General features: G+C 52.6%; 1 protein-coding gene and 1 non-coding gene across 4 annotated transcripts in view, besides 2 other annotated features; both read left to right on the plus strand.

Annotated features, from left to right (window-relative positions):
* Positions 1-23781, plus strand: part of CDH23 (cadherin related 23) — a 419028-nt gene that overhangs the window by 378204 nt on the left and 17043 nt on the right. For 2 of the 3 annotated variants that reach the window (NM_001171933.1, NM_001171934.1), the window contains exons 1-3: positions 20648-20956; positions 21981-22097; positions 23231-23455. In NM_001171933.1, the coding sequence (NP_001165404.1) occupies positions 21989-22097; positions 23231-23455 (334 nt within the window). In that variant the 5' untranslated portion in view covers positions 20648-20956; positions 21981-21988. Of the gene's footprint in view, positions 1-2556; positions 2779-3065; positions 3186-4143; positions 4325-9163; positions 9298-9767; positions 9978-10507; positions 10616-13816; positions 13920-15164; positions 15291-16008; positions 16213-18058; positions 18518-20647; positions 20957-21980; positions 22098-23230; positions 23456-23781 lie in introns of those variants that run through there. The other variant, NM_022124.6, reaches the window with a different exon arrangement.
* Positions 2883-3038: a silencer, noted in NCBI's record as "fragment chr10:73537763-73537918 (GRCh37/hg19 assembly coordinates)". NCBI's record gives its function as "represses an EF-1alpha promoter that drives an FKBP-Casp9 reporter gene in an ReSE screen in K562 erythroleukemia cells {active_cell/tissue: K562}" and the evidence as "EXISTENCE:reporter gene assay evidence [ECO:0000049][PMID:32094911]".
* Positions 15165-16064: an enhancer, noted in NCBI's record as "H3K27ac-H3K4me1 hESC enhancer chr10:73550045-73550944 (GRCh37/hg19 assembly coordinates)". NCBI's record gives its function as "activates a minimal SCP1, AML or CMV promoter by ChIP-STARR-seq in naive H9 embryonic stem cells {active_cell/tissue: H9 hESC(naive)}" and the evidence as "EXISTENCE:reporter gene assay evidence [ECO:0000049][PMID:30033119]".
* On the plus strand, positions 15624-15677 carry MIR7152 (microRNA 7152). Its single transcript, NR_106974.1, has one exon. It is a non-coding gene; the product is annotated as a microRNA 7152 (primary transcript).

Consider the following 23781-nt stretch of genomic DNA (forward strand, 5'->3'; position numbering starts at 1 on the left):
GGCCCTTCCTGCTGGCATAGCATGAGCTCCCTTCCACCAGGGGAGGTACAAAGCCAACTGAGATCAGGTGGACACCGGGCCCTTCTCACCCTGACATCCTCTGGCAAGTGAGGGGGGTCCCTTAAGGGCAAGATCCTAGAGCACCACCCCATCTCAACCCTTCCTGGACTGGCTTTGCTCAGGACACCCTTGAAACCAGACTCCCTCTTCCCCAGGGCCTAGCAGCCGGGGAGGGCCTGGAATTAGAGAAAGGGGAGCAATTGCCCTGCCAACCCCTTCCCCAGGGGGATAGAGCCTCTGAGCTGGGCCCAGTTCCCTCCCCCCTTTTCACTTCCTTTCTCCCTACCACACTGCCCACCACTGAGCCTCCTGGGGTTGCATCAGGGTGAGACACAGGCATTGCCCAAGGACCATGGTCCAGAAACCTCAAGCACTGTTTCCTCAACACCAGGGCAGGACAGGAAGGGCTCAGCTGAGAGGGCCTTTGGAGCACTGACTTTCTCCTCCCTCCGAGACCAGAGGAAGTCAAACCCACCTTCCCTCCCCAAGCCCAGACCTGGTCTCAGAGCAGGAGGGGCTCCAAGGCCCAACTCTGTTCAAACTCTCCACTCCCAGCCCCTGCAGCCTGCACACTCCATCATGTGTTTGTGCTTGTTTTCATTAAAAATAGTGGTGAAGGCCCCAAATATTCGAATAAAGATGACTGTCAAGGAAAGCCACCATGTCCATCTTGTGGCTCTGCAGGGCCTGGAGGCAGCTGTGAGTACTCTCTACTGGTGAGGGGCCCAGCCTTGAGCCTTCCTGAGTCCCCTTACTTGCCGGCAAGAATACAAGAGCACCACATTGCAGGAAAGGGGCTGAATTCCAGCCTCCCTGTTGGGGAGGGGATGCTGACATTTCCCACATTCCCAAACTCACCTCCCAAACTCCCTGAGCTAGAAACAACTTTAGAAATCAAGCCAGGTCCTTTATTAAACAGACAGAAAAGGTCCAGAGAGGGGATGTGACCTGCCCAAGGCCACGCAGCTCCTTTTCAAGGCTGCCAACCCTATCTGCTTTGGAAACCGTTTCAGCAAACACCCAATGCCCTCCACCCCCAAGATCCAGAGCTGCATATCAGAGGAATCATTGCCTCCTCAGGGGCAGTGACAGCCTTCTTGGGTCCAGATCCCCTGCCCATCTGTCCATTCTTCCAGTGGTAGCTCCAGAGCCAGCCAGTCCCAAGGAAAAAACCATATGCAAATTGCCTACATTGAGTTGTCTGTACCACCTGCTTTCTGTTCTCTGGCCTGGCAATGGCCTAGTCACGTTCTCTCTACCCAGACACCTTTGCAGTGATTAACACCTTATTATTTTATATTAGTCACTCATTATGATTTGTATTAGTTAGGGTCCTGGCAGGAAACAGATGGCACACTCAGAAAGGGTTCAACTGAAGAGAGTTTAATACAGGGACTGTTTAGGAAGGCTGGTAAAGCACCCAGAGACTAGCACCAACCACAGGAAGCCACTACCACTCACATGTCCAAAGGGAAAGAAGAGGAAGTGATGTTCTGGAGCCCAGTGAAAGCTGGTGCTATGAAAGGGGGACCCCTGTCCCCAAGCAGGAGAAACACAGCCATGGGCAGAACCGCAGTGAGGAATGGAGGGAGTGTGGAAGAAACACCCCCGCCTCTTTCTCCCCACTGCTTTCATCTTCAGCCAGGGCCTCCCATTGGCCACACCCAGCAGGAAGCTGGATAGCAAGGGAGCCAGGGTAAGGCAGTTAGTCCACAGGGGACATCTTCCCAGGTGGAGAAAGGCAGGAAGCAGGAGCAAGAACCATTTCTAGTTGATTCTTGAGTGCTGATTGCCGAGTTCTGATTAGCTGAATATTACTTGTGGTCCAATTGACTCAAGCATTGGCAGAGATGGCCGATCACAGGAGAGTATGTTGTAGAAGCTGTTCTTGGAATGAAGTTATGTTCTGTGAGTCTTATTTTTCACAGGTCAACAAGTTCTGCCCACGAAATTGCCACAAACCCAATGTCCTCCTTCTGGAAATGCTGAAAATATGTATTTCTTTCATTTACATGAACAATAGATGAAGGTTAAATATGGCATTGGGCCGAGTGCCTCACATTCTTGCCTCTTGTAGTCTGGCAGGACATATAGGCTCAATAAGACACAGGCCCTCGTAAAGCTCTGAGCTGGGGTGACTACCAGGGTTCATCCCATATGCCAGTCTTAATCACTAGACCACTGTGCTAACAAGGATCCCAAGTTTGCATCTGGCCTCAGCAGTTCTGTGATTGATTAGTGATGTCTGCTGGGGGTCGCAGACATAGGAGTGGTGGTGCCAGTGCCATCTTGGACAGAGCAGTTACCTTACTTGGCTTTTGGTGGAGTTTTTGAGCTTTCTCTCTCTACCAGCCTGTGACCCACCCCCTGCTTTCTTCTCCTTGCCCTTTCTGTTTGAGTCACATGGAGTGAGTTCAGCCCAGGAGAACAGCCATCTGGATCCACCTTGGTCCCTCTGGCCACCTGACCAAGGACGTGACCCACTCTTTTCCACAGGCCACCACGCACGTGTACGTGACCATTGTGGATGAGAATGATAACGCGCCCATGTTCCAGCAGCCCCACTATGAGGTGCTGCTGGATGAGGGCCCAGACACGCTCAACACCAGCCTCATCACCATCCAGGCACTGGACCTGGATGAGGGTCCCAACGGCACAGTCACCTATGCCATCGTCGCAGGCAACATCGTCAACACCTTCCGCATCGACAGACACATGGTCAGCAGCTGATGGCAGGATCAAGACAAGGGGCGAAACCTATCCAGGGATTGGCAAGGAGTTCAGTGACACTGGAGGGGGATGGAGCAAAGATGCAGTCTAGGGGAAACTGTGGGGGCACTCAGTGTGGGAGGATGAAAAGTTTGGTGGAGTGGAGCCTGGGCTAGGGGGTGGCAGTGGTTCCCCATCACAGCTCCAATGTCAGGGCCTACTTCCCAAATTGGTCAGAGGGTGCTGCAGACCTACCACCCCTAGATCCATCCTTGTCCCTTCCCTGTGTCCCCCAGGGTGTCATCACTGCTGCCAAAGAGCTGGACTACGAGATCAGCCACGGCCGCTACACCCTGATCGTCACTGCCACAGACCAGTGCCCCATCTTATCCCACCGCCTCACCTCTACCACCACGGTGGGTGCATGGGACACAGCCCCAACTTGGGCTTGGAGGTTGGCGAAGGATGGGACCCAGAAAGCTCCGATGCGGGAAGGGGTTAGGGGAAGATTGTCTGAGGGAAATGCCTAAATCCAAGACCCCTGTCCTAATCTCAGCAACTCACTCAAACTTGCTGTGTGACTTTAACGAGGTCACTGAACTTCCCTGTGTGGCTACATCTGTCAGACAAGTGACAATACCTGCCCTCCTCTCCTTCATGGGAAAACCATGAACTCTGGGTTTCAAGTCCTTGCTCTTCCACTTTCTAGCTGTGTGACCCTGAGCAAGTTGCTTAACCTCCCTGCTTCCATTTCCTCATCTGTGAAAGGAGGACAATACAAACTATGTTTTAAGGAGTGAGAGGAGTAAATGAAACCACGTAAGACAACCACAGTGCAGCAACAAATAGAAGTTTATGGGCAGTACTATTATTATTTTTTTGAGACAAGTTTTCACTCTATCATCCAGGCTGGAGTGTAGTGGCTTGATCACAGCTCACTGCAGACTCGACCTCCTGGACTCAAGAGCAATCCTCCCACCTCAGCCTCCCAAGTAGCTGGGACTACAGGCATGCACCACCATGCCCAGCTAATGTATTACTCTTTTATTTTTTGTAGAGGTGGGGTCTTGCTATATTGCCCAGGCTGGCTCTGCCTCAGCCTCCCAAAGTGCTGAGATTACAAGTGTGAACCACTGTGTCTGGCCAATAGCATTTTTATTAATATGATGATTGTGCCCATAAAAGGCTTTGGCAATAATGATAACTCATCCACATGCATAGCTTAAAAGCCCCACCCATATCCGACTTCCCATATGATTCCTGCATGGGCCTCATGAGGCAGAATTATCAGGTCCATTTCACAGAGGAAGGAACTGAGGCCCAGCACAAAGCTGGCTGGGGTGAGGCCTTGGCTAAGCTTTTCCACCATCTCAGGTGCTTGTGAATGTGAATGACATCAACGACAATGTGCCTACCTTCCCCCGGGACTATGAGGGACCATTTGAAGTCACTGAGGGCCAGCCGGGGCCCAGAGTGTGGACCTTCCTGGCCCATGACCGAGACTCAGGACCCAACGGGCAGGTGGAGTACAGCATCATGGATGGAGACCCTCTGGGTGAGTGGGGCTTGGGGCATGCCACCCACAGGGTCTCACCTGCACACCCGCTCAGGGGAGGATAAGAAGGGAGGTCTCAAGGCATTTGGCCTCACCATTGTGTGATTTTGTCCTCTCTGGGCCTCAGTTTCCCCATCTATGACAATGATGGAAATAATCTTCTCCCACCTCTTATTCCCAGAGATGTGGCGAGAACACCCTATAATCTGGGAACAAGGGCTGGTGGCCTTGGAGGGACACAGACTCCTTTAAGAACATGATTAAAAAATGCCCTGTTGCATACCCAGAGGAAGGGCCCCAGGGCAGACGAGGGAAGCACATCCTTACAGTGCGTGCAGAACACAGCCCCCGCCCTCAGGACCACAAACCCACACACCAAGGGAGCGCCTGGCTTGCTCTGCACATCTCATAGTCACCCATTCACAGCCCTCTCCTTGGATGAAGAGCAGAGTTTGCCTTGGCCTTGAGGGCAACTTCTCAAGTCCATTTTCACTCATTACTATAGAGTGGGAATCCCAGATCCAAAGGCGCCAGCTAGGGTCAGGCAAGGAGCCTTCGTGGGAGATGGTGTAGGAAAGAATCAGGAGCAGTGGGGACTGCGCAGCCACAACTCAGCTCCTGCCAGTAGTAGCTGTGTCCAGATCCCAGCCTGGGAGTACCTGGGCCCATTTTGAAAAGAAAAGCAGAAATCCAAATCTTTGTGAAACATCCTGATTTTTTAATTGGTCGTGCAGGAAATATTTCTTGAGTACCTCCAGTGTGCCGGCCATGTTCCAAGAGCTGGGGATACCAAACAGATGCAAATCCCTGCCCCGTAGAACGTACGTTCCAGTTGGAGGACACGGGCAATGAACCAACTGACTAAGTAGATGACTTAGTATACTGGGAGGTGCTAAGGGCTATGGAGAAAAATAAAACCAAGCCGGAGGATGGGGAATGCCAGGGTGAAGGCAGCAATTGTAGGTTGGCAAAAACCTGAAGGAGGGCAAAGGTGAGTCAAGTGACATCTGGGGAAGAGCATTCCAGGCAGAGGAAACAGCAAGTGGAAAGGCACTGAGGTTGGAGCATGCCTGGGATGTTCACAGAGAAGCAAAAAGGCCTGCAGCTGGGGGAAAGTTGAGCAAAGGGAAGCATAGGAAGAAATGAGACCAGAGAGGTAATGGGGCCAGATGTTGTCGGGCCTTGAGGGGCATCATGAGGGCGTGGCTTTTGCTCTGAGGTGGGAACCCTAAGAGGGCTTTAAGCAGAGGAGAGACATTATTTGACTTAGGTTTCAGCAGGACCACTCTGGTTCCTGTGATCAGAACAGACTGTAGGGGTGAAGGAAAAGGAGCAGGGAAGTCGGATGGGAACCTGCTGCAATCACTCAGGCTAGAATGAGGTAGCCGGGAGAGGGTGGTGGCATCACCACCAAAGGGAAAGAGGTGGCCACCTCTGGTGTAATTCAGAGGTGGAGCCAGTAGGATGTGCTAACTGATTGGCTGTGGGATGTGAGAGAAAGTCAAGGTTTTGGCGTGAGCAACCCAAAAGATGATGGCGTTGCCATTGACGGATGGAGGGCTGCAGCAGGAGGTTGTGGAGGGAAAGGAGGGTCGGTTCGAGATACCAGGTAGAGGTTGCGTATACAAGCCAAGAGTTCAGGAGAGAGGTCTGGGCTGGAGACGGGTATTTGGGAGTTGTCAGCATAGAGGTATTTAAATCCAGGAAACAAAGAGCGGTGCGAAGATTCAACAGTGAACCCAAGCCTCGCTTGCAATTAAGAGGCTGGGGGAAAAAACAACAACCTATATATGGAGGGCCCAAGTGACAGAATGAGAGCCCCTGCTGCCCAGAGCTTATGAGGGGTCACTCTGTTCGGACATGCTACCCTTTCGGATCCCAAAGTCTCCTCTCTGGCCAAGCACTAGGCCTTCCTCTTTGGAAACCAGCAGAGCAAGGGCCTTTCTCTTCTGCTGTTTTCACAAACACAGAGATTTTGTAATTTTATGGGAGTCCCTGGAGCACAGGAGGATGCCGGCACCTGGTGGAGAGGCAGGTGCTGGGTGAGCAGCTGAAGCCCCTCCCCATGAGGGGCCCACTCTGCACCCCAGCCTCAAGGCACAGAGCACACACCTGTGCTCCAGCACAGTGCAGACCTCCATGCCATGGCCTTTAAGCCACAAGCGAAACTTCCTGGGTTCAATCCACACGTGATTGGGATGAGCCTTAAGAATTTGGGGCCTTGTGGGGGAGTCCCAGCAGACTAACAGGCAGGCTCTCAAAGGAGTGAGAGACGCCTAGGAGTTTCCTAAGGCTGACCTGGGTGGGAGGCTTCCTCCCCCAAGGAAGGAAGAGTAGACATTTAGAGCCCAAAGATAACTTTGGGGTCTCTGAGCGCCACCCGCATCTCAGAAATGATCAATGAAGGCCCAGAGAGGTGAGGAAGGCCTGATGGTACTGCTGACATGGGTCACGACATCCATTTCCCACATCTCCTCCCACCTCGGGGTTCATGTTGGTCACTGAAGGGTTGACGGATGCTACAGCCAGCACCGCTGTCTGGAGAGAGCTGGTTTCACAGTGCACCACTGCATGGAGGGACGTGCCTGGGACCCCAGCTTAAAGGTCACCTTCCCAACACTGCAGCCTGAGGCTGGAAGGCTGCTTTCTATAGGGAGACAGATGCCAGATTTCTGAGCACTTACCAGCCCCACTGAGCCCTTAGGAGGAGCTGTGTGCTCAAAGAAGAGCTGGGAGACAGGCCACATGCACTTGAGCCTCTCCCGCCAGCGCCTGCCTTCTCAGCTGCCCTTTCTGGTCACACCCATTCCTTGGACCCCTTTCCTACATCCTCACCCTCCCTGAAAGCTCCCCGTTCCTTCAGAGGCCTGCCTGGGCTCCCTTTCGGGATCAGCACACACAAGGTGGGCCAGGGTTTGTCCAGCATCAGCACAACCCCAAGGTGGCATCTCTCTATTAGCCCATTTTTCAGATGAGAACATCAAGGCAAGGCTCCTTAACATGCCCAAGGGCACACAGGCATGAAGTCCAGATGCAGACCTAGATATGATTGGACGAAAGCCTAGGCTTTTAACCTCCTGTCTCCAGGAGTTGTGGAGGGATGGGGAAGTCTGGCCCCAGAGCAAGCTGCCAAGGAGAAGAATTTGCACAGGGGAACTAGGCTGGCCCAGCCCCCAGCCCCTCAGGCCTGCCTCCCTGAGCCTTCAAGGGAGTGGTGCTGGTGTCTCCTCCTGGCTTTGGAAGGAGAGCAAGAGGCCCTCTGCCTGCATATGGCCGGGGCTTGAGACAGGGCTGGGAAACACCTAGAAAGGGAATCCCCAGTTCTTTGGAGACCTTGGGGTGTCATGCTCAGGAAATCCTGCTTTAAGCAGCTTCCACCCCCCAGGCAGGGTGAAGCCTATGGGACGGGAAGAGCCTGGGAGCGGAAGGGCTGGTGGGAAATCCCAGCTGCAGGTGGGACTGAGAGGGGCTGTTTTTGTACATCAGAGTGTTAGGAGCTGGGGACAGGGAATTGTGAGGTAGGATGTGAAGAGACAGGCAGAGAAAACTGTGGGGGCGCCTGGGCCCCTGTCCTTGCCATGCCCTGTGAGCTGTGTGCTTCCTGCTGTCTGTCCCAGAGCAAGTCAGTGCCCCATTCTGGGCCCTTCCCCCTAAGTATTCAAAGGGAAAGTGAAGGAGGTAACTAACCTTCTCTCCATTCCATTTCCTGGGGGAATGCGGAGAGGTGGCCTCTCTTCTGCAGGCTCTCCCAGTTCCCTAGCTCACATCCCCTCAACTTTCTTCCTGCCAGAGCCACAGCCCCCACCATTCTTGCCTCTCCAGCTGGGCTCACGCTTGCTCACTGGTTTCCTTCCCCCTGTCTCTTCTCTCCACCCTCCGTGTTCTCACCCCGCCCCGGTCAGCTCTGAGTGGTGCTGTCTGGAAAGAACACAAGTCCTGTGCGAGGCAATGGGTTAAGACCCAGAGTGCTGGGTTTGAATCCTGGTCTGTCATTCACTTGCTGCAGGAGTGCAGACAAGTGGTAACCCTCCCCTGGGCTCCCAGTTCATTCTCCAAAGGACACAAGGGACTGGACGGTCTCTGGGCTGCCTTCCAGGTCAGCATCTGAGAATCTGAGGTTCTTGCTCTGGACTGTCAGACATCGGGCCCTGCAGCCCAGCCAAGAAAAGGATTCTGGGGCCACAGGGCCAGCGGGGCTCTTCAGAAACATCAAGGAAAGGAAATCAGGGTCACCACAGGTGTAGGGAACCCACTCTGCTTTCCAACTATAGCTCAATATGGGGACTAAATAGAGGGCACTGGGGGCTTCCCTGCCCCTCATCCGTCCCCTTCTGCCTGCCCGGTGCCTGCGCATTCACCATTAGCAAAGCATTGCTTTGTGGTCAGCTCTGCCCTTCCCAATATCCTTTTTTACAAGCCATGGCATGTGGGATGGATCGTACATTGCGAAGCACCTGATGCCTTCATTGATCAAGAGTGCTTAGACAGTGGGTGCTAGTGTAGCAAGAAGCCCCCACTTTTTCAACATAGCCATCTTACCCAGGTCAGTCTCTGGCCTGCCTGTGGCCCAGGGAAGGAAGCTGCTTGGTCTGGCACATGAGGGCATGAGTGGCCCGTGTCCGCCTGCACCCGTGGTGGTGATCCGCTACCACCCACCTGCACATCCCAGCCCTTGCAGATCTCATGAGGATCTGAAGCTGGGGTCACTGGAGGACCCGGGCCCCAGCTGTCCCCCACCTGTGACGAGTGAGGCTTGCTAGAGGAAGCAGAAGGAGTCCTGGGGTCTCCACAGTTCCTGCCAATGCCCGACTAACTTGGGCCTCTCCTGGTGACACCCAGGGGAGTTTGTGATCTCTCCTGTGGAGGGGGTGCTAAGGGTCCGGAAGGACGTGGAGCTGGACCGGGAGACCATCGCCTTCTACAACCTGACCATCTGTGCCCGTGACCGGGGGATGCCCCCACTCAGCTCCACAGTGAGTCTGGGGGCCCCACCCGCTGGCTTCACCTCGCTGCCCCTGTACTTGCCACAGAGATTCTTGTAAACATTGTTACCCTTGTGCCAAGAGAGGCCACAGGCTGCCCTGGAGCCAGGCCAGGCCTGCCCCTGGGGCCCTTAATAGACCTCTCGCCACATCCAGCAACTCTTTGGGGAGGCTGCCTTTCAGCGCCCCTCTGCACCCAACCCCTGCCCCATCACTCCCTTCTCCATCACTGCCCCTCCTCTGCCTCTGCCTTTCCTGCTTCCCTCATCATCCTCTTTTCATCTTCTTGCCTTTTTAATGTTCTTTTTCTTCTTTCTTCCTCTCCCCTTTTCTCTTTCTTCTCCATGACCAACTGCACCCTCCCTCCCTCCATGCCGCCCTTGGCGAACCTCCTCCTCGGTTGCCATGCACAACATCTGTCGCTCTTCCTCCCCTCCCTCCTCCTTCTCTGACTGGCCCAGATGCTGGTGGGGATCCGGGTGCTGGACATCAACGACAACGACCCTGTGCTGCTGAACCTGCCCATGAACATCACCATCAGCGAGAACAGCCCTGTCTCCAGCTTTGTCGCCCATGTCCTGGCCAGTGACGCTGACAGTGGCTGCAATGCACGCCTCACCTTCAACATCACTGCGGGCAACCGCGAGCGGGCCTTCTTCATCAATGCCACGGTAGGGCCTAGACTGACCCCAGGGAGCTTCCCAGGGTTTCCAGTGAAAAAGAGGACCCTGCCCTAGAGGCTTTTCTGCTGCCACCATCTGGGCTCCACCGGGCTCCCGTTCCTGCACTGGGATGAGGACACCTCTGTGGGAAGCATGGAATCTTGGATTCACCAGTGAACCATCTCTGGAGTCCACCTAGAGCCAGCCCTGAAGCTTGTCATGTGCAGAGATGGGGCCAGAGCCTGTGGGACCACTTGGTTTAATCAAGACGCACCAAAGTTCTCACTTAGCCTCTTGAGGTGTCTGTAGATGGCCAACAACACCATGGGGTCCTCCGAGGGCCATCTCTCAGAAGCAGCAAGGCCTGGGCATGAGTGGGTCACTCTCGCCCCGGCGAGACCCTGCCGACCCACATTTTTGGCCTTCTAGATCATCTCTTAGGCAATTTAGGGAGGCCAAGCAGAGCAGTTGGCATCTGTGGGCCAAAGTAGAAAGCAGGGAAAAGGTCTCCATGCAGCTCACCACCCTCCACATCCCAGACAGGGATCGTCACTGTGAACCGGCCCCTGGACCGCGAGCGGATCCCAGAGTACAAGCTGACCATTTCTGTGAAGGACAACCCGGAGAATCCACGCATAGCCAGGAGGGTGAGACTGGAGGGCACTGGTGGGAGTGGGCTGGGAGCTAGAGGCGCATGGAGAGAGAACACATCACCCCTCCTGCAGGCAGCATAGCCAGGCTTAGATGCACAGGCTTTGGAGTGAGCACGTGCTGGCTTCAAATCCCAGTTCTCTCCTTCAGTAGGTGCGTGGCTTTGGCTAGTTAACTCCTCTTGGCCTCCATTTCTCTTCTGCAAAATGAAGATCTCACCTACCCCAAAGTTGTAGAAAGGATGAAGGAGCCAATATATGTGAAAGCCTCAGCACAGTGCCTGGAGTGTGACAAACACTCAGTGAACATCAACTATCATTGTTTCCTCCCCAAACCACTGATACCTGGACACACACTGCATTTGTGCATGGGGCACATGGGCCTGCATTCACCCACAAGCATGCTCTGAGGTCCTGGAAGGGCTGCGTTTTCCAGGTGGCTCTCCCCTCAGAAGCCAAAGAAATGAGCTCTTGACTAAAGGGAGGTGGATGTTGCAAAGCAAACAGTCCCTTTGGGTTGGGGGTCAGCTCTGTCCTTCCAGCCCATGAATCTGTGGTAGATTCCTAGCCAGAAGCCTTCAGGCCCAGTTCATCTCAGCTCTGCCCCTGACTAGCTGTGTGGCTCAGCCAAGGCACCACTCTTTCTGGGCCTCAGTTTCCCTATCGGTCTAGCCAGAGGAGACGTCAGGCTGGAGAAACTCATAAGCTACATGCCCCTCCCATGTGGTGCTCCTCTGCTTCCTACTCTTTTTTTTTTTTTTTTTTTTTGAGACAGAGTCTCACTCTGTCACCCAAGCTGGTGTGCAGTGGTGCAATCGTGATCTCAGCTCACTGCAACCTCCACCTCCCAGGTTCAAGCGATTCTTGTGCCTCAGTCTCCCGAGTAGCTAGGATTACATGCACACGCCACCTTGCCCGGCTAATTTTTGTATTTTTAGCAGAGATGGGATTTCACCATGTTGGCGAGGCTTGTCTCAAACTCCTGACCTCAAGCAATCCACCTGCCTCAGCCTCCCAAAGTGCTGGGATTACAGGTGTGAGCCACCATGCCCAGCTTCTACTCCCTCATTTTTGCCCCCACTTTTTCTCTTTTCTGCTCTCATTTTTCCTCTCCCTTGCCTGGCTTCAGGAGGGCCCCGGGTAAAAGCAGCATTGAGTGGCAGGACTCGGTGGGCTTAGGGGCTAAGCCCCACTCTGCTGCTAACTCACCACTTGGCTCTGAATGGGCACTCCCCATCTCTGCACCTTGGTTCCCTTGTCTCTGAGGTGGTGACAGTGCACAGGGGTACTGGAGGTTCTGAGGTTTGCGAGTGTGAAGTGAGGCACTGGCAGAGTTTGAATGAACTCCAGCCAGGGCAACAGGAAGGCCTTGAAGGTCGAGAAACAGGACTCATCTTCCCGCCTGAAGTGAGATGGAACAGGATTCAATCCCATTTGCCACACCTCCGTGAAGGAGTTAAATCCCTATTTGCCAGACTAGAAAACTGAGACCCAGACAGGGGAAATGAGGCACCCAAGATCACCCAGAATAGGGTCTTCAACCCAGGTCTTTGAACCCTGGTGTGGGCGCTTTTCAGATTTTTTTTTTTTTTTTTTTTTTAGATTCAGGGAGTACAAGCACAGGTTTCTTAACATGTCCATATTGTGTAGTGGTGAAGACTGGGCTTTTAGTGTACCCATCAGGTGTACCCAAAACTACCTATTATGTCCAATGTTCACTGAACTGTGAACTCACTGCCACTCACTGAACAGTGAACATTGTACCTAATAAATAATTTTTCAACCCTCACCCTCTTCCCATCCTCCCACCCTTCTGAGTCTCCAATGACTCTTATTCCATTCTGTATATCCATGGTTACACATTATTTAGCTCCCACTTATAAGTGAAAATATGCAATATTTGACTTTCTATTTCTGAGTCATTTCACTTAGGATAATGGCCTTCAGTTCCATCCATGTTGCTGCAAAAGACACGACTTCACTCTTTCTTACGGTTGAGTAGTATTCCATGGTCTATATACCACATTTTCTTTAGTCAGTCCTCTGTGGATGGACACTTACATTGATTCCATATCTTTGCTATTGTGAATAGTGTGGCGATAAACATGTGAGTGTAAGTATCTTTTTGATATAACGATGTATTTCCCTTTGGGCAGGTACCCAGTAGAGGGGTATTGTGGGATTGAAGGGTAATTCTGTCTTTAGTTCTTTGAGAAATCTCCATATTGCTTGCCACAGTGGCTGAAGGAATTTACATTCCCACCAGCAGTGTATGAGCATTCCCTTTTCTCTGCATCCTCACCAGTGTCTGTTGTTTTTTTCTTGAGATGGTGTCTTGCTCTCTTGCCCAGGCTGGAGTACAGTGGCACAATCTCGGCTCACTGCAATCTCTGCCTCCTGGGTTCAAGCGATTCTCCTGTCTCAACTTCCCAAGTAGCTGGGATTACAGGTGTAAGCCATCATGCCCAGCTAATTTTTTTGTATTTTAAGTAGAGACAGGGTTTCACCATATTGGCCAGGCTGGTCTCGAACTCCTGACCTTAAGTGATCCGCCCACCTCAGACTCCCAAAGTGCTGGGATTACAGGCGTGAGCCACCATGCCCAGCATGTTGTTTTTTGACTTTTTAATAATAGCCGTTCTGACTGGTGTGAGAGGGTACCTCACTGTGGCTTATTGCATTTCTCTGATGATTAGCAACACTAAGCATTTTTTCTTTTTTTCTTTTTTTTTGAGATGGAGTCTTGCTCTGTCATCTGGGCTGGAGTGCAGTGGCGTGATATCCGCTCGCTGCAAGCTCCGCCTCCTGGGTTCATGCCATTCTCCTGCCTCAGCCTCCCAAGTAGCTGGGACTACAGGTGCGTGCCACCACGCCCAGCTAATTTTTTGTGCTTTTAGTAGAGACGGGGTTTCACCATGTTAGCCAGGATGGTCTCGATCTCCTGACCTCGTGATCTGCCCGTCTTGGCCTCCCAAAGTGCTGGGATTACAGGCATGAGCCACTGCACCCGGCCACATTTTTTCATGTTTGTTGCCCTCTTGTATGTCTTCTTTTGAAAAATGTGAGTTCATGTTGGTGTGGGCTTTTCTGATCATCCACCTCTGTGCCCCAATCCCCAACCTCCCAACCCTCCTCCCACCTAGGTGGGGGCACTTTGCTGAGCATGGCCTACAACGTGCCCCATTCTGCCCCTTGCAGGATTATGACTTGCTTCTGATCTTCCTTTCTGATGAGAATGACAACCACCCCCTCTTCACTAAAAGCACCTACCAGGCAGAGGTGATGGAAAACTCTCCCGCTGGTAGGTGCTGGGCCCACCCGGGAGCTCCTGCTGTTGCCAGGCACCACTGGGGCCTGGGATGCCTGAGGACCTCCCTTATGCCTAACGGCATAGCTGAACCTAGACCCCAGTGGGTGCGGGAGGGGAAGGATGGGTGCAGCTCCGGGAGATGGTGGGCTGGGGCTCCCGGGCCTCCTATGAGCACAAAGAAGCCACAGGTCTGGTTGGAAGAGACAGTCGTGGTCATTGTTCCCCAGGGTGGTCTGAGAGCTGCCCCACCATCCCTCAAGAAGGGCATGTAAGGTGTGAGGACTACCCCGGAGGGGAGTGGGTCCACCCCTCACTGCTCCCTCCACCCCAGGAGTGCAGGGCATCCCAGGGCCTTCTGGAAGCCCTGGGGAGCATCTATAACTAGAAGTGGGAGGTCAGGGGGTCCTGGGTAGGCCAGTGTAGCCCTCTCCCCACACACATGCACTGACCAGGCTCACCTCCCTCCAGAGGGACAGAATCTCCTCTGTGATGTCCCCTGAGGTGGCACCTGCACTCCTCCAGTCTCCCCAGCCCCTGTTCCTCATCTCTGGCTGGGCATCCCCCCTAGGTGAATTTCATTCTTAAACCTGTCTGTGTGTATGCTCACACATGTGCCCGTGTGTGTCCATACCAAGGCATGTGCGTGGGGTTACACATGTGCACAGACACATATAGGTACATGGGTGCCCACTGATGCGCTCGTGTGCAGACATGCCCACCTGCAGAGGCACACGAGTGCACAACCAGGGAATCCCAGGCCTGTGCGTGCTCCTGGACAAGTGCCTGTGGCCATGTGAACACAGAACTTGATGCACACATGAGTGGGTTTTTCTAGTCATGTATGGCCAGGCCCCCAAAGGCAGAGCATTGTGTGAACACATGTGTTGACAGGCGAGACCCACACATGGGGAGGGGATGTCAGGGAGCCCCAGACCCTCCCGAGGAGCGGCCAGCCTCAAAGGCTGCTGGGAAGGCAGATGTGGCTCTGGGCAGCCGGGGCCTTGCTCACCACTCTCATGTTTTCTCCCCAGCAGGGCTTTGAGGCCGCTCCCCAGGCATCTGCGTTCAGTCTGCCAAGGCTGCCGCAGGCCCGCCCCCAGGGCCTCCCCACCCTGTCCACCTCACCTCCCTCCCCTCTCATCCATCGTCAGCCATGGCTCACCGGGACAGGGCAGGGGAGGTGGGAGGGCAGGGGGCTGGGTTGGTCTTGTGGTGACCCCTCTCCTTCTGGCCCAGGCACCCCTCTCACGGTGCTCAATGGGCCCATCCTGGCCCTGGATGCAGACCAAGACATCTACGCCGTGGTGACCTACCAGCTGCTGGGTGCCCAGAGTGGCCTCTTTGACATCAACAGCAGCACCGGTGAGGCCTCTGTGCCACCCAGCACTCCCAGCCTGATTCTGGGGTGGGGATGGCCACACTGCTGGATTGAGGGCCTCCCTTCTCAGTGCTGGACCCAGGCTGTCCGTGGAGACCCCATTTTTCACAGCCCAGAGTCCCCATCTTGCAGCTGGGTTATATCACCCAGTGGCCTGGCAGGGGGACGTGGGAAGAGGCTTGGAGACGATACACAGGACCTCTGTTGGTGCACGAACTCTCAGCCTGGGCCGGGAGCCCCCCAGCCCACTCCCGTCATCTCCCCATGCGCAGGCCAGAGGCTCAGGCCCCTAGTCCAGCAGAAGTAGCCAGAGCGACTTTCCTGTCCTCCAACCAGACCATGCCACATCCGTCTGGTCCTGGACAGGAGGCCGCTTTGGTGACAGGTGCCGACAGGAAAGCACATCTGTCAACAGAGACGGTCAACCCTGTGCCCTGGGTCACTCTTCCCAGGCAAGAGTCTTGAAGACAGCAGAGGGCACCTGCAGAGGGGACAACCACAGGAAATGCATGGGGCCCTCCCTCAGCACGGGTGGTTGAGCCTGTGGGGGAGAAAGTCATTTTGTTACTGCCTCTGCTCCTCTTTCATCTCTGTCCCATGGTGCCCCTGTCTTTCTCTGCTCTCTCCCTGTTGGTTCTTGCCCTGTCTTCCCACCGCACCCCTTTTCTGTGTGTTTCCCTGGCTGGCGGCACCGGGTGCCAGGTGTGGTGACCGTGAGGTCAGGTGTCATCATTGACCGGGAGGCATTCTCGCCACCCATCCTGGAGCTGCTGCTGCTGGCTGAGGACATCGGGCTGCTCAACAGCACGGCCCACCTGCTCATCACCATCCTGGATGACAATGACAACCGGCCCACCTTTAGCCCTGCCACCCTCACTGTCCATCTGCTAGAGAACTGCCCGCCTGGTAAGCAGGGGACAGGCCCCAGCACCCCACAACCAGGGGCCGGTTGGTGGTCACAGGGGACTGGAGCCTCAGGTTGGACACGGAGTTTGCCTCCAGTGGGGAGAAAGATGGGCAGCAGGGTGAGTGTAGAACACACTGGAGAGGGAGTCAGGAGACCTGGGCCCCTGCTTCCCTCCTCTGAGCTTCTGTATCTTGCCTGCAAAACAAGATTCTTTTTTCCTTTCTTTCTTTTTCTTTTCTTTTCTTTTTTTTTTTTTAAGACGGAGTTTTGCTCTTGTTGCCCAGGCTGGAGTGCAATGGCACAATCTCGGCTCACTGCAACCTCAGCCTCCCAGGTTCAAGTGATTCTCCTGCCTCAGCCTCCCGAGTAGCTGGGATTACAGGCGCCCACCACCACACCCAGCTAATTTTTGTATTTTTAGTAGAGACGGGGTTTCACCCTGTTGGCCAGGCTGGTCGCAAACTCCTGACCTCAGGTGATCCACTCGCCTCAGCCTCCCAAAGTGCTGGGATTACAGGTGTGAGCCACCACGCCTGGCCTACAAGATTCCTAAGTATTCTCCATTTGAATTCCCAGATGGAAAGACTGACTATTTTAAAGTCAAAATAGGATCAACATGATTCCCATCAAAATCAAATATAACTTCTGGAAGAATAAGAAAATTTTGAAAAACATAAGTATAATAAGCCAGATTTGGCTTACCAGATTTTATAACATATTATAAAGCTACAGTATTTAAGGCCATGCAATATGGGCACAAGACTCCAGGACAAAGTAGCCCAGAAACAGATACTGGTAAATTAAAGAATAAAATATGATGTGATAAAGGAAGCAATGAGGCCAATGGGGAAGCTACTTATTCAGTGTGCAAAAACCTATTTAATCTAATCAATTACATCCAATTATTATAATCTGTATGTAATCTAATATAATAATAATGTAATATTTAGTGTAGATTCTCCCCCATGTCAGACACCAAAATAAAAACCAAAAGAAAATATTAAAAAGTAGAAAACACTAAACAATAAATGAAGAAAACTTAGGTGAATAACTCATTTCTGGGTAAGAAGGTTCTAAGCATAAAAGAAAAGAACTTAAGAGGAAAAATATTAAATTTCTATGCATGCTAATTTAAACCTTGTTACATCAAATAATTATAGCCAATATTGAAAGGCAAACAACAAACCAAAAAGTATATTTGTCTTGGTCCAGGCGAGGTGGCTCACGCCTGTAATCCCAGCAATTTGGGAGGCTGAGGCAGGTGGATCACTTGAGGTCTGGAGTTCCAGACCAGCCTGACATGGAGAAACCCTTTCTCTACTAAAAATACAAAAAATTAGCCAGGCATGGTAGTGGGTGCCTGTAATCCCAGCTACTCAGGAGTCTGCTGCATAAGAATCACTTGAACCTGGGAAGCAGAGGTTGCAGTAAGCCGAGATCACACCACTGCACTCCAGCCTAGGTGACAGTGTAAGACTCCATCTAAAAAAAAAAAAAAAAAAAAAAAAAAAAAAAAATATATATATATATATATATATATGTCTCAAGTTGTCATAATTATGTGACTTGTATAATTGACAGAAAAATGGACAAAAGACAAAAGCAGACCATTTGCAGAAGATACAACTAATTATTACATTATAAAATATTGTTTAATCAAAGAATATAAAATAAAATAACATGCCATTTTCCTATAAAATTGCAAGTATGAAAAAGGTATAAAAGAAAATGCTGTCAAGGCTGTCATGAGAAGGGGACTTGAGAAGATCACCAACAAATGTGTCTTGGTAGATCTTTCTGGAAGAGGCCACTGTGCGCAGCTACTCCCTTTTCCCTCTCCAACAGGATTCTCAGTCCTTCAAGTCACAGCCACAGATGAGGACAGTGGCCTCAATGGGGAGCTGGTCTACCGAATAGAAGCTGGGGCTCAGGACCGCTTCCTCATTCATCTGGTCACCGGGGTCATCCGTGTTGGTAATGCCACCATCGACAGAGAGGAGCAGGAGTCCTACAGGCTAACGGTGGTGGCCACCGACCGGGGCACCGTTCCTCTCTCGGGCACAGCCATTGTCACCATTCTGATCGATGACATCAATGACTCCCGCCCCGAGTTCCTCAACCCCATCCAGACAGTGAGCGTGCTGGAGTCGGCTGAGCCAGGCACTGTCATTGCCAATATCACGGCCATTGACCACGACCTCAACCCAAAGCTAGAGTACCACATTGTCGGCATTGTGGCCAAGGACGACACTGATCGCCTGGTGCCCAACCAGGAGGACGCCTTTGCTGTGAATATCAACACAGGTACAAGGGCCTGCACCCCTCCCACCTCCCTCCCAGCTCCCAGTCCTGTCTCCTCGCTCCCTGCTTCCCCCTTCTTTCTCCTTTCTCTTTCTTTGCTGTTCCCTTGCTACTCTCTTCTCTCCCCCTCCTCTGGAGGGAAACCAGAACCGTCCTTCTCTTTTCCATCTCTCCCCTTGCTTTCTTTCTCTGCTTCCTCATCCTCCCTTGAGCAGCTCCTCTGGCCTTCCTGATTCCCTCGCCCTACCAGTGTATGAGAGCACCTATCTCACCACATCATGCCAGTATTAAATATGATAACATTTTCATGTTGGCAATTTTAGAGGAAAGTAATACCTTGTTTGTTCTTTTGTTTTTTGTTTTTGTTTTGGCTTTTTTTTTGAGATGGAATTTCACTCTTGTCACCTAGGCTGGAGTGCAATGGTGCAATCTCGGCTCACTGCAACCCCTGCCTCCTGGGTTCAAGTGATTCTCCTGCCTCAGCCTCCCGAGTAGCTGAGATTACAGACATGTGCCACCACACCCAGCTAATTTTTGTATTTTTAGTAGAGACATGGTTTCACCATGTTGGCCAGGCTGGTCTTGATCATCCTGACCTCAGGTGATCCACCTGCCTCGGCCTCCCAAGTGCTGGGATTACAGGCGTGAGTCACTGCACCCAGCCGTGATACCTTGTTTAATATGCATTTCTTTACTAACTAGGTGGCTGAACACTTTCTTCATATGTATGCTGGCCATTTAAATCCTCTGCAAGTTGCATGCGATCAATGATTTTCTTACACTATCACGAAACCAAGAGAACCATGGCTTATCTTTCACAATGTATGTAGTTTATTGTAATGCTGATGGTTTTATCATTTTCCCAAAAGTTCAGTGTTTTTCTCCTTTGAGGAGTTAGGAAAGGGACATGGAGCTGATACGTGTACTTCTTGGAAGGCCCAGAGGAATGATAGAAGAATCAACATGGCTGTGACAAAGCACTAAAACAGCAGTAAGATATCAGTTTTTCACACGTGATTAGTGGACATTAGGATGCTGGACAATGTTGATATTGGTGACCGTGTGGGGACATGGAAACCCTCATGCACTGCTGTAGGAGTTGTGACTGATTCCACTGTCTGGATAGCAATCCAGCATAAGGGACACTTGTACCACCATTACCCAGTATATGTTCCAGAGAAAGTCTCAGGGCATTAATGAAACTGTCTGAGGATGCTCACTGCAGTGTTATTGGTGATGGTGGAGTTGGGGCCATGCAGGTATCCATTTCTGGGAGACTGAAGAGTAAAATATCATGGGTGTGCATCATGGGGGTACCAGCCAGCAGTGCCAGCGGTGAGAAGCAATAAATTAGACACACACAGAGCAATGTAGATGGATCCTAATAATAAGTATTTACTGAAAAGGATAATAAATGGGATGAGATATATGCCACAGCACCATTTCCATAAATGTAAAATACATACAAAATAATACATGATTTTCAGAAATACTTTTATTAACAAAAAATATACTTCAATACATTACAATGACTGCCTGAGGGGAGAAGGGAAGGAGAGATGAGTATGGGAATGAAAGGGAGTAGACGCACACATAAAACAAGAGAAGTGCCAGTGGTCATAGTGTGCAGCGAGCCAAAGAACATGATAAACTCAATCTGCATTTGAGGCCCAAAGGGAAACAGAAGAAGGAAAAACCATGAGCACTAGGAGAAGTTAGATAGAACCAGCTACATCCCAGGTTAGCAAAATTCCTGGCTGCATGGGTTGGTCAGGACCATGGAGAGCTGCTCCACGTCCCTACTCAACTTGAGGCTCTGCTCAATCCCCTACTGCTTTTCTCTTTCCTGTTCCCCCTTCCTCCAGCTGACTCTCTTCTCTATTTTTCTTTCCAGTGTCTTCTCTGCCCCCTCCTCCTCAGCCCTCCACTCCTCCCTTGCCCACTTTGCTACCTTTTCTTCTTGCCAGAGCCTCAGCCCCTGAGCTCTCCACTCCAAATGGGCTTCCACTTGCTCCCCTGGTTTCCTTCCCAGTGCCTCTTCCCCTCCCCACTCCCTGTTTCCACCCCTCCCTCCCTCCTCCCACCCCGTCAGCTCTGAGTCCCCACCATCCTCCCTGCCCTGCTCTGCTCCATCCCTGCTGCACCCTGAACTAACTGATGTTAACCCTCTTCTCTCTTCCTCATGGCTGGCAGGCCCACAGGTTTGAGCTCTGTTTCTCTGTCACTTCCCACCTCATCTCTTCTCTGCCTCACCCCATTGCCTTCCTCCATGCCCACCACACCCCCACCACCCTTCCTGTCCTGTGGGGCCTGGGCCAAGGCCGTGGCCCAGCCTTTGCAGACTGAATGCAGCCGCCCTCTCCCCATCCTCGCTCCCCAGCCTGGGGGACAGGGAGCGAGAGTAGGAAGAGGAGGAGGAGGAGGAGGAGGAGGCGGCCCAGGGTAAGTGACTACCCCATGGCTGGGGACCCACGGAAGACAGAAGCCCAGCAGGGGGATCTGCCAAGGGGGAAGGGAATCTCAGATACCCCTGTACCTGAGAGGGAGAGGAGGTCTCACTCTGGGATGAAGCCAATGGGAGGAGAAGCCACCAGGCCCTCTAACAGGCAGGAACAAGAAAGGTCCCAAGAAACGCAGCACTGAGGTCAGCCAAACTAGGTCTGTCCAGTCCCCGCCCATGCTTCTGGGGGGTTCCTCTCTGATTTGGGGAGCAGGCAGGGACTCTGGGAGGCAGTGGGTAGAACAGAAGGAAACCCCTTGCTAGGACTGCCATGGAACCAATGCTCCTGTCCCACAATCAGCCCATGTCACTCCCTATTTAATCAAGACAAAGGGATGGGCCTGAAGTATCCAGACGGTCCCACCACTGTCCCCTCCAGGGAACCCCTCAGGGCTTTTCAGCTACCATGACTTTCCTTTAAACTTGATCTCCCTAGAATCTAAGCATTTTTTAAATGGTGATAAAATACACATAACGAAATTTACCATTTTAGCCACTTTTTAATTGTAGAGTCCAGTAGTGTTAAGTACATTTGCATTGTTAAGGAATACAGCAGTTTTTAAACAAGCAGTTACATAGCTTCTGTGTGCCACGCACTGTTCTAAGTACTTTACAAATGGAAACTCATTTTGTTTTTCTAATCCTCAAAATAGTAGGGTATTGAGAAAAGGATGGGTTGACAGTCGGTAGTGTAATTATCTAGTTTTACAAATGTGGACACAGAGGTGCAGAGAGGTGACATAACTTCCCCAACATCACCTGCTTAGTAAGCATCATGGGAGGGGCAGAGCCACGTGACCCAAGCTTATGAGGAGGCTGTGGGCCCACCCCAGCCACAAGTCCCAGATTCTACTGGGGACCGTCATCCTTTGTGGGGATTGGGAGGGTTTGGCCAGGAGCACCCCTGGGAAGGGCAGATTTTAGGGGGTTCTTCTCAGGCTGAACCTGGCCTGGTCTGGTCCACAGGATCTGTAATGGTGAAGTCCCCCATGAATCGGGAGCTGGTTGCCACCTATGAGGTCACTCTCTCAGTGATTGACAATGCCAGCGACCTACCAGAGCGCTCTGTCAGTGTGCCAAATGGTAAGGTTCCCTGCAGACATCTCTCATTGGTCACTCAGAGCCAATCAGGGCAGGGGGCAGGTGGGGAACAGGCACTGGTCTGTCCCCAGGGAGGGAGCAACAAGACCCAGTTGCTCTGGGGGCCAGGAGTCAGGCAACACAAGAGGCATGAAAGGTGGCAGCCACCGTGAGGCCCAGGGTGGTGATGGCTACATAGAGCTCAGCAGTGGAGGATCCAGAAGCTCAGAATTGTGTGTGATCTGAACCCCCAGGCTGAGAGTAGGAAGGAGGCTTGGTAGAGCCTGGAACAGATTGAGAAAAAATGGTTAGACAGAGGCTTAGGTTCAGCCAGCAGAACTGGTAACCAGGGTGTGGGTAGGATGTGAGATGGGAACCCTATGATCTTATAGGAAGCCACAGGGTTAGCACAAAGGAAGCAAAGAATGAGGGGAGGTAACCTGAGGCCACAGACACTGCTTTGGGGGTGCAGGCACTTACGGTGGAGAACGGAGGGGCCCAGTGTTACCTTCTGCCAATCGGGCCCAGGCCATCCTGCCTGCAGCCTGAGGCGTGGGCTGGGAGGGGGCTGCCAGAGGGGTGGATTTTGTGTGGGCAGAGCGAGAGTTGAGTGGGGGAAGTGGGGATGGGGTGGCCTCAAGTTGCCTCAGCCATGAGGTACAGACAGCTGCTATAGGGGAAGCCAGGCCTGGCAGATGATGACTGCTTATCTTCACAGCCCAGAAGCCCACATTTTCCGGAAGGAAGGGCAGACTTGGTCATCTCTTCCATGTCAGAGGCTCAGATGGTTAAGGGCCCAGGCCGGTTACATAGAGGGGATACATACAGCTCAGACAGGATCTAGGGTCTTAAAGATTATCTTGCCCTTTCTCATTGAGCAGTTTAGGAAACCGGGGCACAGGAAGGGCCGAGGGCTCCACCAGGGTCACCTAGCCCTTCCTCTTATGGAACAGCAAGTGAGCACACCACTGGAAAGCCTCCTGTGCTGCAGCCTGAGGGTCAGGTCAATCCTCAGGCAGCCTCTGGGGGGCTGTGGGATGCTGCCATGCTCACCCGGCTTGGCTGAGGCTAAGGAAGGCCTGGCCCAGCCACACTAGTGTCCTTCCCCTCTCCCTCACTCCCTGCCTCCACCACAGCCAAGCTGACTGTCAACGTCCTGGACGTCAATGACAATACGCCCCAGTTCAAGCCCTTTGGGATCACCTACTACATGGAGCGGATCCTGGAGGGGGCCACCCCTGGGACCACACTCATTGCTGTGGCAGCCGTGGACCCTGACAAGGGCCTTAATGGGCTGGTCACCTACACCCTGCTGGACCTGGTGCCCCCAGGGTATGTCCAGCTGGAGGACTCCTCGGCAGGTAGGTTAGAAATCTGTCAGAGGAGGGCTGGGGGACATATATCTCTGCTTGCTTAGTCCCCAAGAGAGACCACAGCCCCTCTGTGGCTCCTCAGTGGACTGGGCCAGATCCAAGATGGCCAGCATTCCATGCCAGATTCCAGATGCCCAAACCAGGGGAAGGGACAGAGTGCTTACTCCTGGGTTGGGATGGAAGCCTCTTGATGTCTGCCGGAAACCTGGGATACCCCACCACCCAAGCTCCTACTATTAGTACCACCGAGGGAGCAGGAAGGCCAAGAAGGAGGTGTCTCAGGTCCTGGGCTAGTTGATGCTCATTCCTGTGAC

Source organism: Homo sapiens, chromosome 10 (assembly GCF_000001405.40).
Source record: "Homo sapiens chromosome 10, GRCh38.p14 Primary Assembly".
NCBI lineage: Eukaryota > Metazoa > Chordata > Mammalia > Primates > Hominidae > Homo > Homo sapiens.